Source organism: Homo sapiens, chromosome 21, assembly GCF_000001405.40.
Source record: "Homo sapiens chromosome 21, GRCh38.p14 Primary Assembly".
NCBI classification, from domain to species: domain Eukaryota; kingdom Metazoa; phylum Chordata; class Mammalia; order Primates; family Hominidae; genus Homo; species Homo sapiens.
In genome coordinates this window covers 45,287,995-45,311,496 of record NC_000021.9, presented here as the reverse complement: position 1 = coordinate 45,311,496, position 23,502 = coordinate 45,287,995, and the positions used below count along the sequence as shown (strand labels likewise).

General features: G+C 55.7%; 2 long non-coding RNA genes across 2 annotated transcripts, besides 7 other annotated features; one reads left to right on the top strand and one right to left on the bottom strand.

Moving 5' to 3' along the window:
• Positions 3,672 to 4,477: an enhancer, noted in NCBI's record as "H3K4me1 hESC enhancer chr21:46726935-46727740 (GRCh37/hg19 assembly coordinates)". NCBI's record gives its function as "activates a minimal SCP1, AML or CMV promoter by ChIP-STARR-seq in naive H9 embryonic stem cells {active_cell/tissue: H9 hESC(naive)}" and the evidence as "EXISTENCE:reporter gene assay evidence [ECO:0000049][PMID:30033119]".
• Positions 4,478 to 5,283: an enhancer, noted in NCBI's record as "H3K4me1 hESC enhancer chr21:46726129-46726934 (GRCh37/hg19 assembly coordinates)". NCBI's record gives its function as "activates a minimal SCP1, AML or CMV promoter by ChIP-STARR-seq in naive H9 embryonic stem cells {active_cell/tissue: H9 hESC(naive)}" and the evidence as "EXISTENCE:reporter gene assay evidence [ECO:0000049][PMID:30033119]".
• Positions 5,431 to 6,220, top strand: LOC124905040 (uncharacterized). Its single transcript, XR_007067907.1, has 2 exons — positions 5,431 to 5,622; positions 5,724 to 6,220. It is a non-coding gene; the product is annotated as an uncharacterized LOC124905040 (long non-coding RNA).
• A 7,922-nt stretch (positions 6,221 to 14,142) lies between these two features.
• LINC00205 (long intergenic non-protein coding RNA 205) lies at positions 14,143 to 23,445 on the bottom strand. Its single transcript, NR_026943.1, has 3 exons — positions 23,253 to 23,445; positions 22,059 to 22,146; positions 14,143 to 21,026 (listed from the first exon to the last, which is right to left on the bottom strand). It is a non-coding gene; the product is annotated as a long intergenic non-protein coding RNA 205 (long non-coding RNA).
• Positions 16,785 to 17,291: an enhancer, noted in NCBI's record as "H3K27ac-H3K4me1 hESC enhancer chr21:46714121-46714627 (GRCh37/hg19 assembly coordinates)". NCBI's record gives its function as "activates a minimal SCP1, AML or CMV promoter by ChIP-STARR-seq in primed H9 embryonic stem cells {active_cell/tissue: H9 hESC(primed)}" and the evidence as "EXISTENCE:reporter gene assay evidence [ECO:0000049][PMID:30033119]".
• Positions 18,816 to 19,323: an enhancer, noted in NCBI's record as "H3K27ac-H3K4me1 hESC enhancer chr21:46712089-46712596 (GRCh37/hg19 assembly coordinates)". NCBI's record gives its function as "activates a minimal SCP1, AML or CMV promoter by ChIP-STARR-seq in naive H9 embryonic stem cells {active_cell/tissue: H9 hESC(naive)}" and the evidence as "EXISTENCE:reporter gene assay evidence [ECO:0000049][PMID:30033119]".
• Positions 19,324 to 19,832: an enhancer, noted in NCBI's record as "H3K27ac-H3K4me1 hESC enhancer chr21:46711580-46712088 (GRCh37/hg19 assembly coordinates)". NCBI's record gives its function as "activates a minimal SCP1, AML or CMV promoter by ChIP-STARR-seq in naive H9 embryonic stem cells {active_cell/tissue: H9 hESC(naive)}" and the evidence as "EXISTENCE:reporter gene assay evidence [ECO:0000049][PMID:30033119]".
• Positions 22,261 to 22,991: an enhancer, noted in NCBI's record as "H3K27ac-H3K4me1 hESC enhancer chr21:46708421-46709151 (GRCh37/hg19 assembly coordinates)". NCBI's record gives its function as "activates a minimal SCP1, AML or CMV promoter by ChIP-STARR-seq in naive H9 embryonic stem cells {active_cell/tissue: H9 hESC(naive)}" and the evidence as "EXISTENCE:reporter gene assay evidence [ECO:0000049][PMID:30033119]".
• Positions 23,146 to 23,502: part of a silencer, noted in NCBI's record as "silent region_13401", that runs on past the window's edge. NCBI's record gives its function as "represses an Ori minimal core promoter by ATAC-STARR-seq in GM12878 lymphoblastoid cells {active_cell/tissue: GM12878}" and the evidence as "EXISTENCE:reporter gene assay evidence [ECO:0000049][PMID:35858748]".

The window sequence follows — 23,502 nt, the reverse complement described above, 5'->3', positions numbered from 1 at the left end:
ATGCATGTTTATATGTGTGTGGTTACATGAGAGAAAGAGAGAAGTTTATTCTGAGGAGTTGGCTCACATGATTTTGGAAGCTGAAAAGCCTCACGATCTGCCATCTGCAAGCCAGAGACCTAGGAGAGCCGGTGTTGTGGTTCCAGTTTGAGTTGAAGGCCTGCACATGAGTGGGGCTGTGGGTTCAAGTCCCAGCTGGAGGACAGGAGAAGGTGCCACCTCTCAAGCAGTCAGGCAGAGAGATAATTCTCCCTTCCTCTACCTTTTTGTTTGTTTGTTTTGAGATGAAGTTTTGCTCTTGTCGCCCAGGCTGGAGTGCAATGGCGTGATCTCTGCTCACTACAACCTCCACCTCCCAAGTTCCAGCGATTCTCCTGCTTTAGCCTCCCAAGTAGCTGGGATTACAGGCACCTGCCACCATGTCTGGCTAACTTTTGTATTTTTAGTAGAGATGGGGTTTCACCATGTTGGTCAGGCTGGTCTCGAACACCTGACCTCAGGTGATCCGCCCGCCTCAGCCTCCCAAACTGCTGGGATTACAGGCATGAGCCACTGCTCTGTGATGGGCTGGTGGGCAAAGGCCTATCTCGCATCTTCAGGAGACTCTAAGCCTCTAAGGGTGCCTCTGAAGCCCTGGAGGAGCCTTCTCAGAGCCATCTGAGGCTTCCTAAGTCCAAGGGCCAGGGAGCTGACTCATCCCTGCTCCCTGGGAGGAGAGGCAGGTGCCAGGGGGCCAACCAACGGTGACAAGCCTCCCACAACCTCTGCCAGGTGGCGGGTCTGTCTCCCGGAACTGCAAGCCTCTGCCTCCAGAGCAGACCGGGCAGCTGGTGGACACGGACTTACCTGGGCTGACCTGGGCTGAAAGTCATCTTGGGACAGCAGAAGCGGATGAGTTTGTCTAGGCTTCCGCCCTTCTGCAGGCTCTGGGACAGGCCAGGGTGCCCAGCCATGCATCAGGGTCTATGGGTCTGCTACGGAGCAGCCCGGTTCTCCGATGTCCTCACCTGGCTTCTGGGGATTTGGTCCTTAGGGTGGCACCTAGGAAGCAGAGGCCGGGCTGAGCTCGGGCACCGCCATCCTAGAGCTGCCCCCACCTGCCCAGCTCCCCCAGAACACCCTCCCCACCCACCTCCACCTGTGGACATGCTGAGTGTGTGGGGGCTTGTATGTGTGTATATGTGTGTGCACATGTGTGGGCACATGACTGCATATGCATGTTTTGCATGTGTGTACACGTGTGGATGTGTGTGCACATGGCTGTGTGTGCATGTGTGACTGCAAGTGTGTGCACCCGTGTATGGATGTGTGTGGATGTGTGTTCATGTGTATGGATGTGTGTATGGATGTGTGTGTGCACATGGCTGTGTATGCATGTGTAATTGCATGAGTGTGCATGTGTGTGTAAGCATGTGCATGTGCACATACGTGTTCCCAGAGTGTCTCCATTACCCAGGATGGTGCCTGGAAGGGTGTGCAGTCCCATCTCTAGCCAGGGCCACCCCTTGCAGTCCAGGCCTAAGGCCAGCGTCGCTCACAGGCCCTGCCCCTTTCGTCGACAGTATCTGGGGATCCCGGGCTCTCCAGGGCGGGCAGGCTGCCTTGGGGATGAGAAGCGGCTGGTTTCCCGGGGGCAGCCCTTTGACCTTAGTTGGGTCACTGCCCCCTTCTGGGATTCCGTCTCCTCTCCCATTTAAGGACAAATAGGTCTTTCCCATGTGAGATGCGGTGCCTGGCCAGGGCAGGGATGCAGATATTGACCCTAACTTTGTTCAGAGGCTGGGCTTCCCCGGCCCTGAGCCAAGAGGAAGCCCCGTCCAGAAGCCAGGAAGCAGCAGCAGGGCCAGCCCTGGCACTGCCCAGGTCTCCCCACCTCGGCTCTGCTCAGCGCTGGCCTGGAGAAAACAGAACGGCAGCTGTCGGGGCTGGTCCACGAAGTGTTGTTGTTTTGTTTTTAATTTTCTGATCAGGGTAGAGAGAACTAAAAGTTCAGGAAAAAACAGGTATTTTTGGAAATGGTAAAAGCCGTGACTCATCACTGGTAACTCATCTTCCTACAGATAAGTCAGACGAGCTTTTCTCTGAGCAGCTGGAATGTCCCCTAGTCCTCAGTTTTGTGAAATTTGAATAAAATACGCTCCTTTGGGTCAAGGTGAGAGTCTGCATGTGTCCTGGGGCTGTGGTAACAAAGTGTCATGAGCTTGGTGCTTTCAGCATCAGAAATGTGCTCTCCAGGTCCGAGGCCGGAGTCTGAAAGGAAAGTGTCACGGGGCCACCTCCCTCCAGGGGGCGCCAGGGGCTGCCAGGCGGATCCTTCCTGCCTCCTCCAGCTCTGGGAAGCCCCGGAGTCCCTTGGCTGGATTGCGCCCTGTTCTCTTCTCTCTCCTAAGGACCCTTGAGATGTCATCTAGGTCCCCCCTCCAATAGACCAGACCCTCTCCTTGCCTCAAGAGCCTGACCTCACCTCACCCACAAGACTCCCTCTTAGACAGGGTCCCATCCACAGGCTCCAGGGGTCAAACACGATGTAGGGGCGGCTAAGCTGGAGGAGGGCCAAGGCTGCTGGGGGGCACCAGTGCCGTGGACTTCAGGAAAAGGGTCCCTTGCGGGAAGAGGGGATCAGCCGCCACCCTGCCCACGGTGCCACAGGACCCTTTCTGCCCCCCAGCGGCACGAGACAGCAGGCAGGCAGCAGTTGTCTGCAGATGGCAGCCTGGGCTCAGGAAGAACAGAGCGCCAGGCCCAGCCCAGCCTGCCAGGCACTGCCCCAGGTACTCTGGCCCCGCCGGAGGCCCCAGCCTACAACTGAACTTCGGCTCCACATTTCAGACCCACGATTTTGCAATCTCCTCCAGTGTTTATCAGAGGCTCTCCCCACTGCCCCAGCACACTGTAAACTCCCAGGGCCCACCCGGCTCTCAACTGTGGTTTTGAGGGCAGTTTCAACAATGCTCCCAGTGCGGGTTTGTGGCCAGGCAGTTCACGGAGCTCCCACCGGCTGCCATTCCTCACACACCAGGACATTCCCTCCTGCTGTGCCCAAATGCATCTTGGGTCCCACTGTGCGAGGACGAGAGTAGGGCACGGGCAGCCCGTGAGTGGGGCAGGTGAGAGATAGACCCTGAAGTCCCACTGCCCAGCAAGCCCCTGCTGTCATGAGGCCGCAGCTCTGCTGGGGCTGGCCGGCTGGGCTGTGGGCGTGAACATGTGAGTAAATGTCCTTAGGGAATGGGTTGCGTGTCTTCACTGTTCCACACAGAGCATTTCGTCTTTTTGTGCATTTCTACGTGTGCATTCCTGGTGTGTATTTGCACATCTGCCATCTGTGTGTGTTCTGGAGTGTGTCTGTACACGTATGTTCCTGGTGTATTGTTCATGCATATTCCTGGAGTGTGTCTGTGTATGTGTGTTCCCGGTGTGTATTTGCACATGCATGCATATTCCTGGAGTGTGTCTGTGCACGTGTTACTGGTGTGTATTTGCACAAGTATGCATATTCCTGGAGTGTGTCTGTGCACGTGTGTTCCCGGTGTGTATTTGCACAAGTATGCATATTCCTGGAGTGTGTCTGTGCACGTGTGTTCCCGCTGTGTATTTGCACATGCATGCATATTCCTGGAGTGTGTCTGTGCACGTGTGTTCCCGCTGTGTATTTGCACAAGTATGCATATTCCTGGAGTGTGTCTGTGCACGTGTGTTTCTGGTGTGTATTTGCACATGCGTGCATATTCCTGGAGTGTGTCTGTGCACGTGTGTTCCTGGTGTGTATTTGCACAAGTATGCATATTCCTGGAGTGTGTCTGTGCACGTGTGTTCCTGGTGTGTATTTGCACATGCGTTCATGTTCCTGGAGCATGTCTGTGCACGTGTGTCCCTGATGTGTATTTGCACGTGCACGCATGTGTGTGCTTGTGCACCCCGGCTCCGTCTTCCTCTCGTCCTCTCTGCCCGCCGCCCTCCTGGGCCAGACTCTCCTGTTCTGAGTGGAAGGCAACGAAGGCCTGGGTTGCACAGGCCCGTCTGGGGTCACAGGCATGTCAGGGCCGCCTGCTCCTAAACCTCCTGCACTGAGATGGGAATGGGAGGGGAGGCTGGCGAGGGCTCCTTCGGTTCAGACGCCTCCTCCCAAATGAACGGCAAATGTCAAATGCAGCCCTAAGGAAAATAGTTCCCACACCTAATCATGTCCGGGAGAGGTCGGTGGGGGGGCGCCGGGAGCACATGCTGGGTGGGAACAAGGGCCCTTTGTGTGCCATGGGCAGCTGTGGCCGCAGCAGCGAAGCTAAGTGGACCGGCTGTCTGGCCGCCTGGCTGCCCGGAGACAAGCGCTCTCCTTGTTGCGTCAGCGCCCGAGCCCAGCCCCTGCCTGGGCTGCGGGGGAGTCTGGGACACTGGCTGCAGGGAGGGGCACGTTCTCACTCGTGGAACATTCTCAGGCCAAGACAGTCACAAATGGGGTCACTTCTGATGGTGCTCAGCTGCCGCAGCGGCGAGCCATGAATCGCCCACGCTAGCTTTGGCTGGGGCAGAGTCCTAGGGCCTGAGTGAGAGATGAAGCAGGAGGGACAGTGGACCAGCCAGGCTCCCTGCGAGGTCCTCCCCATGTCACCTGAGGATGGGGCAGCAAGGGTGGCCTGAGGTACCCTGCAGCCTCTGTAGGCACCCCTTCCTCTGTTGCCTGGCCTGAGCACAGCTGCCCTAGGACCAGCAGAGCCTGCACCTCACCGCTCCCTCCCGCAGAGGGTGCGGCAGAGCGAGGGCCCCCCTTCCACCAGAGACTCCACCCTCATTTCAGAGAAAGCTGAATTCAGAAAGACCCACTCCTTCCCACGCAGGCAGGGAGGGTGCCCGGTGGGGGTCTGGGCTCCATGGAGGAGGTATTGGAGCAGGACAGCGGGCAGCTTTAGGGGACGCAGCCTCTAGGCCGGTCTGAGCCCCAAGGGTCAGAAGACCGGTTACGCACAGGAGACCGAGCACGTGAGCACATGCAGGGAGGCCGGCGGGGCTGACGGGAGGTGCGATGTAGAGAGGACGGCAGCCACAGCGGCGCACACGGTATTAGATTCACCTCGGTAGCACCGGAATGCAGGGTTCCCAATACAAATAGGTAGAAGAATCTGCAGATGAAATGTGTGTGTGCGTGCGTCTGCAAAGTAAGAAAATGCCAGGAAACATGGATGGAAAAGACACAGATGCCAGCCTGAAGGGTCCCCCGCTGAGACAAACTTAACAACAAAATAAACTGAAGAAGGACAGGAACAGATGATGGCCCATGCATAAAATGAGACTCTGTGGTTCTATATAGATGTCAATATACTTAATTAATAAATGGGGGAAAAAGAAAGCTCACCCACCCCGGTAGAATTCCAGTTGATAAGTGACCGCATGAGGAATTCCCCCCAGCAGCCGTTGCTGTCACAATTAATTCAGGCAACAAGAACATCAGTCAGTGCCAAACCTGGTGGTGAACGTGGAGTGAAGAATGGGGTTTTACATCACCTCTGAGTGTCCCCACGAAATGTGCATGAATGACAGAGAAGGAAGGAATTTCCAGTGGAGACCCCTGCAGACGCCACGTTCCCCAGATGGTCAAGGTCAATGCCCCCTGGAGTGGACACATCGGTACGCCCACCTCCCAACCCAGATGAACCAGCTCCCTCCACCGACAACCTGCGTCTAACCATGAAATAAACCGAAACTGACAGTATTTCTCTTTTCCACAGAGTCAAGGTCTTAGAAGTCAAGGAAAGACTGAGGACTGTTCCAGGTTGAGGATGAGCATGAAGTCTTATAATCCCTGTAATCCCAGCACTTTGGGAGGCCGAGGTGGACAGATCACTTGAGGTCAGGAGTTCGACACCAGCCTGGCCAACCAACATGGTGAAACCACGTCTCTACTACAAATACAAAAATTAGCCAGATGTGGTGGCACATGTCTGTAGTACCAGTTACTCGAGAGGCTGAGGCAGGAGAATCACTTGAACCTGGGAGGCGGAGCTTGCAGTGAGCTGAGATCGCACCACTGCACTCCAGCCTGGGCGACAGAGTGAGATTCCTTCTCAAAAAAAAAAAAAAAGAAAGAAAGAAAAAAGGCATTATTGGGACAGTTGGTAAAACCTGAATAGGTCTCTAGGTGAAGAATACGTACTCTTTGTACTATTCTTGCAACTTTTTGGTGTATTTGAAATTGTTTTGAAATAAAAAGTAAAATTAAAAGCGAGAAGCACCCTGTGTGGCTGGCACCCTGGCTGCTCGCATCTGCAGGAAGCATGGTGGGGCTGGGCGGTCCCAGGCTGCCGTGGCCCCTTTGTGCTGCTGTAAGAAGGTACCTGTGACTGGGTGACTCATAAGGAGCAGAAATGTACTGCTCACAGCTCTGGAGTCTGGGAAGTCTGAAACCAGGGCCCCGGCAGGTTTGGTGTTTGGCGAGGACTGCTCTCTGCTTCCAAGGTGGTCCCCTTGTTACTGTGTCCTCTCATAGCAGAAGGCAGGAGGGCAAAAGGGGCCTGGCCAGTCAGACAGCCCTTTCGTAAGGCTCTAATCCTACCCTTGACGGTGGAACCCTCACGGCCTAACCCTCCCGAAGGCCTCACCTCTGAACACTGTTGCGCTGGGGATTAAGTTTCAACATGGATTTCGGAGGAACACAGACATTGAAACCACAGCAGTGCCATCGCTCCCAGGCTGAGACCCCACCTTGGCTCTCTGCCCCTAGCATCTCCTCCCTGGCCCCTGGAGAGACACAGGAGAAGGAGAGAAGGGCTATTCTGTAGGAATCACAAGGCCGAGTGGACTCTCACCTGAGGGAGGGCACCTGCAGCTTGGCTGGCCCCAGGGATCTGTGGGCACGGAGCATGTGGCTGGGTGCCTATCACCTTCTTCCCCACTTTACCCTGGGCATCCAGCCCCTGGACCATGACTGCCAGGCACGGAGCAGGTGTGGAGGAGTGTCAGCATGATGAAATTCACCCACACCACGGCTGCCACAGATGGACAGCCTCACGGAGAGGTGTGGCCAGGGGAGCAGCGGAGGGGCCTGTGGGGTCAGGTGGTCCAGAGGAGAGCCTTCTGGCAGGGGGGCTTGTGAGAGCGTTCCAAGAAGGTGGGCAAGCTCAGCCAGGAGGGTGGAAGGGTGACACGGTCCAGGCCAGAGGATGGCAGCCACAGTGGGAGGGAAGGTGAGAGGCCCTGTGGTCTGGCTGGAACTGAACAGATGACACCAGCAGGGGTAAACATGGTGGGAAGGTGTGGGCCCAAGCCGGTCCTTGGAGCTCAGAGAGCGTCTGGCTTTGGTCTGGGCTATGTTTGGTGTGATGGCTGGGGGAGTTGCTGAGGTGGGAACGCCCTTGAGGGCTCTACCTTGAAGGGTGGGATTATGCCTCAGGAAAGGGCTGTCCGAGGGTCCGTGTTTACAGGGAGATGGTTGATGTGGGAGGCAGTTCTGGCTGAACTCACAGTGCCCAAGGGCTGACCAATAACGAGCCGAGCCCAGCCCAGTGTGGCCCAAACCTTGCGGTCAGATTAGTCTGCTCGGCAGCTGGGACGGAGGACCATGAACGGGGGCTTGGCGTCCCACATCGATTCTCCCACAGTCCTGCAGGGTGGGGCCCACTGTCCAGGTGCTGCGGGGCCAGGGCCTCCGGGACCCCCCTGGCTGGCAGTCAATGGCTCCTCCCACCCTCCCAGGGCCCCTCTGTGCGCTCTGGGTCCTCATCTCCTTCTTGGGAGTCAGACTGGACAGGGCCACCCCAGTGACTCCCTTTTACTGTAATCACCTCCTTAAAGGCCCCACCTCCAAATCCAGTCCCACTCTGAGGTCCTGGGAGTTGAGGATCCAGTATATGGATTTTGGGGGCCCCACTCAGCCCTGACACTGCGCTGGACAGAGCATGCCTCAAATTCCAAGGGTGATGAATTCGCTGTGACCACACTTCTGTCGTTAAACATCATTCATAACCAGGTGCTGACATTTGCTGCACAGGTGCCGCCCACAGCCCCTCGCTGCCCTGGGTCCAGCTGATGCTCAGCTCCATGGTCCGGCCGCTGCTGGTGGCGGTGTTGGCCCAAGGGTGATGCTCTCCTCCCTCTGCCGGGAACACCCCTGGCAAGGACGCTGCCCACCCATCCCCGCACATGGAAAGGAGGTGAGGCAGCTGCGGCATCTTCACAGAACACGTCCCCCCGACACGCACCAAGACATGGCTCGAGGCCCGGGCCTCCCACACACCCATGGGCTTCCAGCACGTCCTTCCCACGTCAGACACCAGACAGAGCCGGTGCAGGTGGCTTCCAGGTGGCATGTCCCTTCGGATGGGCTCTGCCGTCCCTGTCATGTGCACCAGCTGCTGCATCCACCCTTAGTGCCAGCTCTGGGGGCCTAAGCAGGAGCTCAGGGACATGGAGACCGTGGAGAGGAGGCATTCACTGTGGGGTGTCCCAAGGCTGGGCACCAAGGCAGGACCTCCGTGTGCCCCGAATGCCGGCTTCCCTGGAGACTGCAGCCAGCGGGGATCTCTCACATCAGCCTCCCAAGACCACCGTGAGGGGGGCGCTTAGGAGCAGAAACACCCAGGCCGAGCAGGATGAGCAGGTGAAGCTGCCCAACGCAGGGGACGGGACGCAGAGGCGATTCACGAGCCTGGGGCTCCAGCAGCAGCCAGGCGGATCCCGCCACACCTTTCGCTCTCAGCTACCAGTCTGCCTGCCACCATCACCTTCCCGCGTGTGAGTGGGGCCCTGGTTCCCCAAGCAGCCGCTGACTCCCGGACGCCTGCTGGCCAGGCCCCGGTCATGAGTGCATCCGGGGAAGGCTTCGGGCCTACAGGAACGGAAGGAAAAGCCATCCAGCCTCCCTGACCCTCCACACGGAAGCTGAGGGGTTCCCCATACACCGGCTGCCGGGGACTGCCTCGACTCTGGTTTTGGCAGAGACAGGCCCTGCTGTGTCCGTCATCTCTGATGGAAGTGACAGCCATTTCCCCTGCAGACAGGCCAGAGCGGCCTATCCACGCTCCACGGTGTGAGGCCAGTGGTGGCGTCCCCAGGGCCACAGCCCAGCGAGGGTGAGGTGGGGGAGCGTCCTGGCTGAGGGCTGGGCCGCCTCCCGCGTGCTCTGGGGAACAATGCTTCCGCACCACCCCCGCCCCTTCCTGGCTTCTGTGAAACTGAACATCTCCAAGTAAATATTTTCACTGCTAAGCACAGGCAGCACTTCGAGGCTTCGTGACGAAGACGTGGAAACCGCAACCCGGACCTCGCCGTCAGAGCCGGGCCTGCATTTCCCAGTCAGCACGTGTGTCCCTTCTCCTCAGCAACCGCCAGCCCTGGGACAAGCCCCACACCACCCTGGTTACCCTCAGCTGCGAGATGGGAGGTGCCGGGCACAGCCAGGACTGCATCTGGTCCGTGCTGCAGGGATGCAGCCCCGCATGGGGCCGGGGCTTAGATCAGCCTCTTGTTGGGTTGAGCGGGGAGGCGCACACCTGCCCCAGACTGCAGCTCAAAAGAGGCAGAGGCGAGGGTCAAGCGTTCCATACCCCGAGGTCCCCGGGGGCCCCGTCAGAAAAGGTGGGGGTCTCAGGGAGCTTTGGGTTTTGCTCTGCCTCCTGGGCCTGACCCTGGCCAGAGCTGAACCTTCGAGAAGCCAGGAAAAGTCGGTACCAATTCCTGGACTAGACTCCCTGCCGAGCCTGCCCCTGAGTGCCCTGTGGCCTGGGTGTGGGAACCCAGAGGGAGACTGTGCTGGTGTCACCGGGGGCCTTCTGGCGGTCAGGATGGCTCACAGGGAGGCACTGGGGGGCTGTGGCCAACCTGTGGGACCCGTCCACCCCCAGGGCTGCTGTGAGGCCTAAACGTGGCAGGGGCTCCCCGATGTGAGTCCTACAACGCTCAGTGTCGGATGGGGGGCAGGACCCACAGGCCCCTCTCAATGCAACCTACAGAGGCCCCTGCAGGTGACCTCGAGGGAGGCCACAGAGAGCAGGACCCACGTGGGGGAAGAGAGCACCTGCCCCACAAAAGACAAATCAAGTTGCTGCCAAGGAGCCGGCGAGTTTGGGGCGGATGAAGTCACAGGATCACCCACAGCGAAAACAGGGAGGCGGCCACATGCCCCCCACCTGGGGAGCCTCAGGGGCGGCCGGGGCCACGGGGGTGGCACGAGGCGGGTGACACCGGGCAGCAGGCGGGGGCGGCGCTCCGGGAAGCAGGGTCCGACTGGAGACGTGGGGATCTCGGGGCGGTTTCGGGTTTTACTCTGCTTTGCCTGTGGCTGAGCAGTGCTGAAGGGTGGTGTTGAGCTAACGGGATGCTGAGGCGGAGGAGGATGGAGGATGAGGGAGGAGCAAGTCCTGGGGGAGGCAGCAGGGGAAGAGCAGAGGCCCCCGGAGGGGAGTGGACAGCTGCGGGTGTGGGGGGCTTCTGGGACAGGTGAGGGTGTAGGGCGGCCCTCTGACCCGAGAGCCACCCGAGAGGCCCGAGCGACGGTCCTGGCGTCTTCACCTCCTGCAGGCGGCGCCCAGGACTCACTGGAAGTCAGGAGCTGCCTGAGACCCCGCAGGGGCACCCACTGCGTGCCTTGGGGTGGGACGTTCTGGGTAGGGGGGCTCCGAAAAAGAGCCACAGAAGGGGATGAACCGCATGAGGGTCTGAAGGACGGGCTACGTGGGGCCGAGATCCTCAGCAGAGACAGTTCCCAGGCTCGTCCCCCTCCCCCAGCGCTGTGCAGCGCCTGCCGGTGTTCAAAGCCATTTCCTGACTTTCTCATGGTCTGGGATTCCCAGTTTCATGAGATTAAGATAGAAAGTTGTGGTTTGCAAAAAATTGTGCAGTTAGAGGATGAACATTCCATCGATGGGAGTCTCAAGTGGTCTGAAGGGAAGGCCAGCTGTGGGAAACCTCTCCCAAACGACTGTCACTGTGCAGAGGGGCGGGGCCCCAGGGAACCCGGGGTATGGAATGCTTGACCCTCACCTCTCACCTCTCACCTCTGCAGGTCCTGGGCGCAGACTTCACCTTCTGGACCTTCTCCTATCCGGAAAGTATGTGGCTCACACGGTGGTGCAAGGAGCCTTGGGCTGGGCAGCTGCTGGCCTGGATCCGAGTCCTGCCCTGGTGAAAGTGCTGATTACTTTACATACTTCTACATCTGCAGAACCAGGTGATTGATCCTCAAAGCCCAGCCAGCTCCAGCAAGCTCTGGTACCTGCAACCACGGGCCGCCCTGTGCCCGGCCCACCTTCCTCGAACCGTGTTCCGCTCACCTGTGGCGCGGCCGCCCCCGGAGCAGCGCGTGCCGTGTGCCGAGGACAGAGGCAGACCCGGACAGAGATAGATGTGGAGGGGTAGCCAGTATCAGGGGCACCCCCGCTTGTGCTCACTGCCCCACCCGCCTGCTTTTGCCGCTAACGTCCAGACATTCTTCTCTTAACCCCAAAGCCCCTGGGGTTCAGTTCCTGCTGTTGCAGCCCAAGGGCTCCACCAAGAGCTGGGGGCAGTGTCCACCTCCTGGGGGTCTCGAGGGGCTCCATAAGAGCCCCTTGTCCTGAGCCCCCACCCAGGCTGCGCACTGGCAGCTGTTCAGTCCCGGCTGGCTTTAATTGTTGTCGTTTAATATTCAATATTGACATAAACTCTATTTTGGTTGTGAAACCACTCAGCATTCCATGTCCTTATTCCTGGATTTTGATTCTAAGCCCCTTTAGGAAATGTCTGCCCCGAAGTGACCGTCTCGTCTGGAAGGTTCCCACAGAGCAGGGTATGATGACAGCCCAACGGGCTTCCTCCCAGTGCAGACACCGCCCCAGCGGCTCCGGCAGGAGCACGTTATCATCCGCAGAGGACAGACGCCGAAACGTGCAGGGGCCTGTAAGCCTGCGCAGTGTCACACACACTCAGCCCCAGCGAGGGGCACGCACACATTACCGTGTTTGAGATGACAGTTTTACAGTGTGTTGATTGTTGATGTCCCCTACTTTTCTGGATTTTCCTCCAGTTTTGTTTTTTGTGGGTTTTTTTTTTGAGATAGGGTCTTGCTCTGTCATCCAGGCTGGACACTATCTCAAACAAGCAAGCAAACAAAAAAAAATTAAAAGTGCAGCCCTCACCTCCTCGGCTCAAGCCATCCTCCCACTTCAGCCTCCTGAGTAGCTGGGACTACAGTTGTCTGCCACCACCCCTGGCTAATTAAAAAAAATTTTTTTTGTAAAGACGGGGTCTTGCCATCCTGCCCAGGCTGGTCTCGAACTCCTGGGCTCAAGCAATCCTCCCGCCTTCGCCTCCCAAAGTGCTTGGCTTACAGGCATAAGCCACCACGCCCAGCCATTCCCCAATTTTGAATTGGTATTAGTAGCTTTAATTCTGTTCTGTTTCTCTTACAATAAGCACCTTTCTCAACACATTTCCATCCATTGACAAAATAGGGAGAAAGGGGCATTTCCAGTGATTTAGATGGGTTACTTTAAAAAACATCTGTGTCATCTCTTTAAACTGTTCAGGAACTTCGTGTTGACAGTGTTTTCCTCTGTGCCATCAGACACATTCTCTACTGGTTTATAGAAATCAAGTTAAGAGCCATCTCTGGAATCAAGGTAACCTGGGTAAATGTTGAGACCTGAAGGGATTTGGTGATAGCAACTCTCCTTTCAAATTCTGCAGGAGGAGTGGATGTTAATCTGAGATGGCCACAGAGCTGAGGGTTCCTACAGGGAACGGTAACATGAGGTGTGTTTGTGGACTGGCCCCTGCTTCCCAGTCTCCACCCAGAAGACCTCGGGGAAGACACAGGCAGACACTAGGTTTTTTCAATTATAAAACCACCATGTTCTGGCTTATACTGACACATTTTAAAAGCCAGGTTAAACAGATGATTTTCTTAGAAAATATAAAGTATGGCTGGGCACAGTAGCTCATGCCTGTAATCTCTGCACTTCGGGAGGCCGAGGCAGGTGGATCACTTGAGGTCAGGAGTTCAAGACCAGCCTGGCCAACATGGTAAAACCCCATCTCTACTAAAAATACAAAAATTAGCCGGGTGTGGTGGCACACACCTGTAATCCCAGCTACTCAGAAGGCTGAGGCAGGAGAATTGCTTGAGCCTGAGAGGCAGAGGTTGCAATAAGCAGAGATCACTCCAGCCTGGGCAACAGAGCGAGACTCTATCTCAAAAAATAGTGTAACATTTAAAAACAACAAAAATGAAAATATAAAGTATAACATTGACTCAAGTAGAAATAGAAAATCTGATTAGCCCTATGGGACATGGGCAGGAAACAGAAAAAAAAAAAAGTAGTCAAATGATATCCTTTAAAAAAGCACCAAGCTCAGGCAGTTTTTTACAGGAATATGCAGGACTGATCTCTGCAACAGAGAGACAGAATGACCGTTTAGGAACCTGTCCTCTGAAGGCCAACGGCTCAGTTCAAATTCCATCTTCGCCCCCATGGCTGGTGACCTTAGGCAGACTACTTAAACTCTCAGCCTCTTCATCTGTCAGATGGACACGAAAGCAATACCTAGTTCACAGGGATGACTTCCAGGTTAAGGACTTAACTCATGTAAAATATATAGAATTGTGTTTGTTGCAATAGGAAGAACTTGATACAGGTGAATTTTTACTAAGAATTACTATCATTTCCAGGCACAGACAAAGACAAAAGTATCACAATTCATTCTGTAATATATAGTTGTATGAGTCTATTCTCACATTGCTATAGAGAAATACCTGAGACTGGGTAATTTATAAGGAAAAGAGGTTAAATTGGCTCATGGTTCTGCAGGCTGTATGGGAACCTTCGGGGCGGCCTCAGGAAACCTTCAATCGTGGCAGAAGGTGAAAGGGGAGCTGGTGCGTCTTACATGGCCAGAGCAAAAGCAGGAGGGTCAGGGAGGTGCCACACACATTTAAACGACCAGATCTCGCGAGAACTCACTATTGCGAGAACAGTACCAAGAGGAAGGTACTAAACCATTCATGAGAAATTCACTCCCATGATCCAACCACCTCCCACCAGGCCACACCTCCAACACTGGGGATTACAATTCAACATCGGATTTGGGTGGGGACACAGATCCAAACCATATCAATAGTTAACCAAAAACCTGAGAAACTAATGGCAAGAATAACACACACACATCTACACACAATGATGCTGACATATTATTTATAATAGGGATGTAATTACCCAAAAATAAAAGTATTAACAAACAGAATCCAATCCACCAGGAGCAAGTAAAGTCTATCTCCGGAAAGCAAAGACGGTTCAACATTAGAGAATCTGTTAGTACAACTCACTACATGAAGAGACTAAAAAAGGGAAACTTTGGGCATCTCAAAAGATAGGCCCCTAACAAGCAACTGGTAAATTTAATATTTAGTCCTAATTTTAAAGCACACACAACCACAAGATATTCAGAAAGCTAAAAATAGTCAGAAACTTCCTTAACCTGTAACAAACATTGTATTTAATGCATGAGAACAGATATTAGCAAATTTTCCCGTAAAAGCTCAGATGGTGAATATTCTAGGTTTTTCGGGCAATACCGCCTCTGTCTGGACTATTTAACAGCATTGCTGTGGCGTGACAGTAGCCATCAGACAATATGTAGAAAAATGTGTGTAACTGTGTTCCAATAAAACTTTATTTACAAGAAGAGACCATTGGCTGGATTTGGCCCCCCGGCCACCAGTTTGGAAACCCCTGCATTAGAATCATTCGCATTAGTCAGAAACAAGAGAAAGACGCTTGAGTCCTGGCCAACATGATAATATACACAAAGTATAAATATTAGAAAGGCAGAGACACAACTATAATTATTTGCATAATTATATGACTGTTTACCTAAAAAGTTCAAAATAATGAACGGACAAACTATTACAAGTGACCAAGTGTAACATCAATATACATCAATCAACAGTGTTTACTAAAACAGCAATACAGAATTACAACATTTTATGGGAAAGTGTCCCATTCATTATAACAAAAACTTTGTGGATTTCATAAAAATCCACAAAATACTCAAGAACAAACCAAGAAATGAGCACATCGGACATCAAAGAAATCTTAAAAATTTTGCCAAAGCTCTAAATTCGTTGAGAGCTGGAATCCATTTTCAAGTAGTAGGACTCTAAGTCACATGAATGTCAATTTTCCAAACTGTCCCCATAAACTCCGTGCATCCCTTAAAACTCCCGCAGGACTGCTGTGGGTCTTGACACTGCTTCTAAACTTGACATGGGAGAGGAAACGTGTAGGACCCGCTGAGGAATGCTTCTGAACGGCCTCGGGGAGGGAGCCTGCTGTAAAGCTGTCACAGTTAATGCCAGTGCTACTGTGCAGAAAGAGAACTCAGCCCGTGAGTCAGGACTGAGACAGCAGAGACAGCAAGTATTTACGGGAATTTTATTTACGATGATGGTAGCATTTCATGTCAGTCGGTGGAGAAAAGATTCCTTTTTCAATAAATGATGTGACAACTGGCTACGTATTTGAAAAAGAAAACGTTAGACCCGTATCTCACACAACCCCAAACAAAATTCCCGCGGATTAAAGGGCTAACCACCTGTGATGGAGTGAATGCTGATGTGTCCCCCCAAAATTCCTGTGTTGAAGCCTCACCCCCAGTGACACGGTATCAGGAGAGGGAGCCTTCGTTACGTTAGCCAGGAATCCCACCCTCACCAGGAACCTGACCATGCTACACGGTGATCCAAGACTCCCAACCTCCAGAACCGTGGGAAGTAAGTTTCTGCTGTTTAAGCCCCACAGTCTATGTTATTTTGTTCTCAGCCCCGGCTGACGAGAACGCCATTAGAACATCAGAAGCCACAGCCATAGAAGGACAGACGAGACGCTGAAGTTTGTTTTAACCGTCTTGCCATAAGAAATACCCTATAAGTCACATCTGAGACTCAGGCGTCCTAAGAAAGGGGGGTGTGGACACTGCCCCCAGCACCTCTTGTGGCCGGGCTGGGTGACAGGCACACAGGAACTCATGGCACTCGTCTCATAACCATTGTTCACATTAAACGTGCACCAAAATTTACAACAGAACACCATCGACAAAGCTAAAAGGCAGGCAATGGATGGAAGAAACCATTTCCAAACTACCAACATGGTGTCCCAACAGGAAAAGACTAACTACTGGGCAAAAGATGCGGTTAAACAAGTCACAGAAGAACCCACAGGTACCGCTCCTGCAGAAGCTGGCGACTCTGCCGACACCGTCAGCATGACGCAGAGGGGTCTCCTCCCCACACCCACAGCTCCGCGCATCCTCCCCTGTGGGCCCGAGGTGGGCGTGTACTGATTCATCCCCACCTCTGTCTGCTCCTGAGAGCAGCGCCCTTCACATCTGCGTCCTAGGCCCCACTAAACGCAGGACACGGAGGCCCTCGCAAACTTCTCGAATGAATGAACGAATGAAGGTCGTTTTCAAGACCTCTGGCCCTTCCCCTCTTAGAATCTCTAAATCTCACACTTGCACTTGCTCTGGAGGGGATGAAACAGACACTGCCAGGGCCCGGAGGTTTACGATGTTTATGCTGAGGCCCAGGGAGCTATGCGGGCTCAGGATCCATGTGGATTTGTTACCCTGAACTCAGCGGTCAGGGCCTGCTGGTGAATCAGCAAAACCTCCGGCTGTGCTTCATTCCAGGGAGGAAACCCAGCAGCCCCGTCCCCGTCTGCATTTCCGCTGACGCTATCACTGGAGAGGGAGACGAGGAGTCCTTGAAACCAGCCCTCCGAACATAAATAAGCAGCCGGGTTCAGTGAAGCACATGACGCAGGCTTCACCTCTGCCAGCGTTTCCATCCCAGAAAGTCCTGCGGGACAGATTCTCACAGTCCCCAGTGAGCCCCATCCATGACCCCTGCTCGCCCCCCACGTTTCCCAGATGACGGCAGCTGGAGAGCCTTCCTCCGACAGCGGCCCCAGGCCACGGAGAGGCGGCCCCGCAGAGAGCGGATGTTTGTGAAGCTCCTCTTGGAGGGAAAGCTGCCCCCAACGCTGAACACTCCCGTCTCAAGGCACAGACAGGGGAGCGGTCACAAGCCGGCCAGTCCCTTTTACAGCCAAAATCGGGGGCTCAGAACATTCTTTAATGATTTCCGAGCCACCGAGTGCACTGGGCGGCCCCGTCTCTGTTTTCATTCCCTGAGATGTGGTGCTTTCTCTCCTGGAGCCCCGTGTTGGGGACGCTTCAACCGCAGGCCTTGCCTCCCTCCCACAGTGCTGAGGAAGGACAGGCCCTCCCTTCCCCAGGAAAGGCCAGGCTGGAGGAGCCCAGGTGTGGGGGGAAGTTCTGAGCTGGCATTGTCACCCCCGGGTCTAGTATCCCCACAGAGTGGACCCTGGCCCTGAGCCCAGGCTGTGCCTCCCCTATGTGCAGCCGCTGGGATGTGTCCAGGGCAGCACAGGAGGCAGGTGCCCAGGTACTCCCCTAGGCAGAAGCCTCGGGTTCTGTTCCAGGGCAGGTGGGCTGGCGTGGCCCTCGGGAGCACAGAGCCCTGACTGTAGCCCCCCAGATCCCCACAGGCACCGGCCAGTCTCACCCAGGAGGGCAGGCCCTGCTGTGCTGCAGGCCCCCCGGGGCGCTGGTCCCCTCCCCCATGCTGACCACACGTGGCTTCCTTGGGATCAGCGCACCCCCAGGAAACCCTGGGCGCCTTCACGACTTGGTCACTTGGTGACCTGGGACCCTCGGGCGCCTGCTCCGTGCACAGAGCTGGCCAGGCTGTCCGTAGGGAAGTGTTGACTGGGGGCCCCAAGGCTCCTGCTAAGAAATCCTTCTGAGCACGGCCTCTGGCTCTGGAGAACCAGAACTCCCTGCCCTGCCACTGACTCACAAAGTTGTCCCCTCCCTGTGCACTTCCAGGCACAAAAGCCAGGATTTGATTACTGGGGAACCGCAACGTGCAGGGGTGGAACTCCGCAATGAGTCCAGAAACTCCAAACACGTGAACCTGGTAACTCACCTTGCAAACGGAGGAGCAGGCCTGCACAGGGTCCCTGGCGTTCGCTCTCTCGTCTCCTAGAAGAGTCCTCCTTGGGTCCTGAGCTCAGCGGTCCTCGGCCAGTCCACTCTCTGTCCTTCTTGCTGGCCAGCCCCCTTCCGCGAAGGGACAGCTCCCTCGTCTCCATGGCAGGGTGGTCTCGGGGGACAGTGGCAACATCCCCAACTGCCTTTCTCTGCTCTTCACTGCCGACCCTGCTCCCAGGGCCGCCCCCACGGGGCCAGGAGGCTCCGAGGTGGTGACAGGTAGATGCTCCAGCTGTGCTGAGAACTGCCCAGCCTCTCCCCATCTGCACGTCTCTCAGGAGAGGACCCACATCCGGTCCCCACACATCTACCCACTGTGGGTGTTCTGGCTGGGGTGCCTGTGACCCACAACTACCTCCGGCCCAGGGCTCACTCAGGGGGCTGGCGGCCTGGAGTGCCCAGACCTGACCCTGCTGAGTTCTGTGGGGACGGACGACACTCAGGGCCCAGCAGGGGTAGAAGGATGGGCTCTAACAGGTGTGGCCCCAGGACCACAAGCTGCACCTGCTGCGTCTGAGCCCAAACAGGGCCTCCTTCCCCTCAGGTGAGGTTTTGCAGGGAGCTGGGCGGGGCACAGAAGAGCTGGGAGCAGGTCAGCAGTTGAAGAGTGGCTCCGGGAGGGGCCGCAGAGGCCCAGGGCCTGCTCTCAGGGGTCGCTGGGGACAGGAGAGGCTCCGACAGGGGCCGCCCAGTGTGCTCTTCTCTCATGTGCTGGGGCCTCTCTCTTCATTCCCTGCTGGAAACATCCATGCTGTGCTTGGCGGGGCTGCGTTTCCCCGTGGCACAGAGCTCCCAGGAAGGGCTCTCCTGCCCTCTCGTGGCGGCCTCGGGGCAGTGGCCTGTGGGGGCCGCCAGCCCCTCCTTCGCTGTGTGAGCCGCTGGTCACAGAAGACTGCGGTGCAGGGAAAGGGGCCACTTCCTGATACTCAGGGACAGATTTTCTTCTCTTGAGGAAAGCCTCATAAGACCTCTTCCGGGTCATTCCTGATTAGGACTTTAATCCAGGGGTCAACAAAAGACTCCCCAACCTGAAGGAGGCTGCCCAGGCAGGGAGAAGAAAGGTCAGAGCCCACGGAGAGGCAGAGGGGCGCCAGCCTGGAGTGCCCCCTGCTGCGGCGCCCGGCACGTGGCTCGCCTGCTCTCCCGCCTCTGTCACCTGGGAAGAAACGGTGGGCAGGGGGAGCAGGGGGAGCGCGCCCGGGGCCTGAAGCAAGGCCGGGCCTTCGCCATGGACAAGTGACTTGGGCCTGCTGGAGACAGGGCATGGACCGTGGCCTCTAGGTGAGCACAGTACTGCCCGTAGGACCCGGGTCTGTGGACCCCGGCTGTGAAGGCCACTGAGCCCAGCAGAGCTCCACCCTGAGTCCTCACAATAGAGCCAGTGGGGTCAGGGAGGCCTGGCCCTGAGCGGCCCAGAGGCAGAGGCGTGGCCTGCTCGGTTCCGCTGTGGCCTTGGCTGTTCTATGGATTTCTGCTTCGGGGTGACCTGTGGCCCCTTCATGAAGAGGGTCGGCTTCTGCTTGGGCGGTCACCTCCCCATCCATTAACCATTGACATCTGCAAGAAGTATCTGTTCACAGAAACAGCAGCGGCCCTGTGTTTGGAGGCGGTGGCCTGGGCGTGGCTGCAGTGCTGTGGGTCCCCGATGGGGGGCGAGGGCTGCAGTGCTGTGGGACCCCGGAGGGGGGCGAGGGCTGCAGTGTTGTGGGTCCCTAGAGGGGGGGTGAGGGCTGCAGTGCCATGGGTCCCCGGTGGGGGGTGGGGGGCTGCATAGGGAAACCCATCTCAAGGGGCTCTGTGCCCACAGGGCCCAGGCAAACCCCTTGGCCTGTCCGTGGGAGTGTCAGGGTCCCCAAGGCTGCACGAGGTCACAGCACCTGTCCAGGAGGACTCATGGGAGTGTAAGAAGTTATGTTCAGCCAGGTGGTGCCATTTCTCCCAGGTAAAGACGAACGGCTGGATCATACAGCAGGTGTGTCCCCAGCTTCTGGCTTTCCGTGCCCTGACCACTCTGCAGCCCGGCCAGTTGCAGGTTTTCCCTGCAGGCCTGAACTCAAGCTGGGCCTTGAGCATTCCCAGGCACTGATAAAGGTGTTTAGGTCATTGCCCAAAACCCTGAAACAAAGCAGCCCTGGTCCAAATTCCTTAAACTCTCATATCAACTCGCTGCAGACAGACCTGGGTGGAATCCCCATCTTGCCGTCTGTCCCAAAGATACACTATCTGTCCTATCTGTCCTGAGGATACACTGCAGCCCTCCTTATGCCAGATCCCCTAGGAAGTGCTCTGGACGGATCACCCTGGCAACGAGTGCCTCTCCCTGGAATCCCAACCAGCCCCATCTCGGGATGGTTTGAGGCACTCCCTGGTGGAAACTCCCGTCACTGTTTTTGGAAAGACTCCAGCTGTGGGTTTGGCCAGGATGGAGCACAAACTGTGAAATGATTTCCAAAGGGTGCAGCTCCCATCGACCGTGTATGTGGGTTCCCGCCATTCCACTCACCCACCAATACTTGGTGTCCATGTTTTTGACTATTCCAGTGGTGATAACGGCATCCCCAATGAGATGTTCACGTTCACTTCCCTTTCTGTCCATCGGCCATACGGGTTCCCTTCCTGTCCATTGGCCATTCGGGTTCCTTTGTGTGTCAGGCTGGCTACCATCTTTATGTCAAATTACTGGATTTTAAAATATCTTCATATATTCTAGATACAGCCCTCTGTCAGATCCATTATTCTGAGTATTTTCCCCATCGATGGCTTGCCTTTTCATTTTAAGTGTCTTTCAAAGACCAGAAACGCTTATTTTTTGGTGAAGTTCAACTTATCTCTTATTTTTTCTTTTAAAGCTCCTGCTTTTGTGTCCGACTGAGGTCTCCTTTTTTTTTTTTTTCCCCCAAGCGTTTGTCCATCATGTGGCATTTCTGGGAGCTCGGGACTCCACTCTGACAGAGGAGAGAGGCCATTTCTTTTACTGTCTCCTGTCTCTGAAGAGAAGGATGAAGTAAAAGTTGAAAAACAACAGGAATGAAGTCAGCAGCAAGACCAGCCGGTGCCACCGATGACCAGGCCTGAGGTTAAAAGATTACCCCCCCTCCCACTCTAACCACATGTGATCTCAATCTATCACGACCCTTTCACGTGGACCCCTTAGAGGTGTAAGCCCTTAAAAGGGCCAGGAACTCTGTTTTCGGGGAGCTCGGTTCTTGAGACGCGAGTCTGCCGAAGCTCCCGGCCGAATAAAGCCAAATCCTTCCTTAACCTGGTGTCTGAGGGGTTTTGTCCGCAGCTCGTCCTGCTACATGACCTGCCTGTCTATCCTCTTACCCACGGCAACCTGCCTTGATTCCTGCAGCTTTAAAATAACCCTATCAGGGTTACAGTATTTTAATTTCTGCTTCACATAGTGTAAATCAAAAATAAAACTCTAAGCTTCCCCAACCCACTGAATGGATCCCTCATCTCCACCAGGGGGATTCTGAAGAACCTGAAAAATGAGCTCAGGCCAGGAAGGGACGGGGATTGGACATGGCTCATTATACCCACCTCCCTTTGGAGTTCAGGTGCAGCTGACCAGACTGACAGCAGACTCCATAGCAGCAAGACACCAAGTTCCAATCTGACGCTGGTATAGCATCACGTGACAACAGGCCCTCAAAGTATCAATGTATTTTACCCCAAAATATATCTCTTTGACAAATTTTGAAATGGCCCCGCAAAGCGGTGTCTTGTGGGGAAATTCATATTCTGTAGACTCCCCTTCCCTTTCCAGCTCTTTTTCTGATCCTGAGGAGACTGGCTGAGAGTCTAGTGCCTTTTGAAGGTCTGAATAGGAAACATTTGCCATGTATTGCCTCTGAGGGCGGACACCTATGAGATTTCATCCACATAATAAGGACCTCGGTCTCCACAGCCCCTTCTCTTAACCCAGACACTCCTTTCTATTGATTCCAAGCCTTCAGATAGTAACTTCTTTCAACCAACTGCCAATCAGAAACATCTTTGAATCCACCTATTACCTGGAGGCCTTTCCACTTGGAGTCGTCCTGACTTTCTGGATCAATCCAATGCACACCTCACATGTACTGACTGATGTCTTATGTCTCCCTGAAATGAATAAAACCAAGCAGTAAAACAACCGCCTTGGGCCAAGTTCTCAGGACGTCCTGAGGCTGTGTCATGGGTCATATTTGGCTCAGAATAAATCTCTTCAAGTATTTTACAAAGTTTGGCTTTTTTTGTAAACAATAGGCAGATATAAATTCCATTTGCTAATTTTTTTAAATGCTGTGTCTTGGTTCATGAAAGACATTGGTCTGTGGTTCTACTGTCTGGTGATGTCTGACTTTGCTATCAAGGCAATGCTGGCCCATACATCGAGCAGGGAAGTGCCCCTCCTCGTCCATCGTCTGAGTGGCTGGATTCCTATTATTTCTTCTCTAAGTAGGATTCACCAGCTTGGCCCTCTGGGCCTGGAATTTTCTGTGTGAGAAAATTTGATAACAAATTGATCTCAAATTTAACAGATAATAAGCATTAGTATTTTCTTTTTTGGTAACTGGCATCCTTCAAGAAATTCGTCCAATTATACCGTTTTGGGGGCTGCCTGCACTAGAGTCAGCGTGGCGTCCCCTCAGAAGGCCGGGTTTGCCAGCGCCGCGCCCCAAGCCAGGTCGGTCGGCCAGTGCTGGTGCCCTCGGGGAACAGCGGGAGCTGCCTGGAGGCTGCGGGGAGCGGCGGCGGCGGGCACGCACCTGGCTCCCGAAACCAGACCTTTAATAACGCCTCGCAGAAGGGGCGGGGTGGGAGGTTGGCAGCGCAGGGGCGGCAGCCCCGGATCCCCCCAGGTCTCCAGATCACCCCATCGAGCCCCGCGCCCTAGCAGCACAGTCCCTCCAGGGCTCCTTGGAGGGCCAGGCCTCAGCCCGGGTGCCCCCTCGCCGGGGCTCCAGGGTTGGGGGCACCCAGGAGGCCGCAGGTGTGGAGCTCGACGGCGCCCCCCGACTAGAAACCCAGGCTCTCATGCGCGGCTCCCGCCCCGACCCCAGCTCCAGAGGGGCGAGAGCACCCGGCGCCGACCCCGTCTACGGACCCCCTCCTCCGCCCCGCCCCCGCCGTCCAGCCCTCCCGCCCCTACCAGCCCCGGGCCTCCTCCCCACGGACCCGCCCCGCGCCACCAGCCGTCAGCCCTCCCGGCCCCCAGTCTCGCGTACCCTCCCCACTGGCCTGCAGGGTCCACCGACTTCCCGACCCCGGGACCTCCCGACCCCCGGACCTCCCGGCCTCGCGGACCCTCAGGAGCCCCTGCGTGGGCTGCGCCAGGGCGCCCGCGACAGCACCGCCGCGAACCACAGCCACGGCCTCCGGGTCTGCAATGGAACCTCTAGCCGCTGCGGTCAGGAGGGCGGAGACTCTGCGCACGCGCAGTTCCCCCTCCCGCCCCTGCTTGCCGGTGATGGCGCA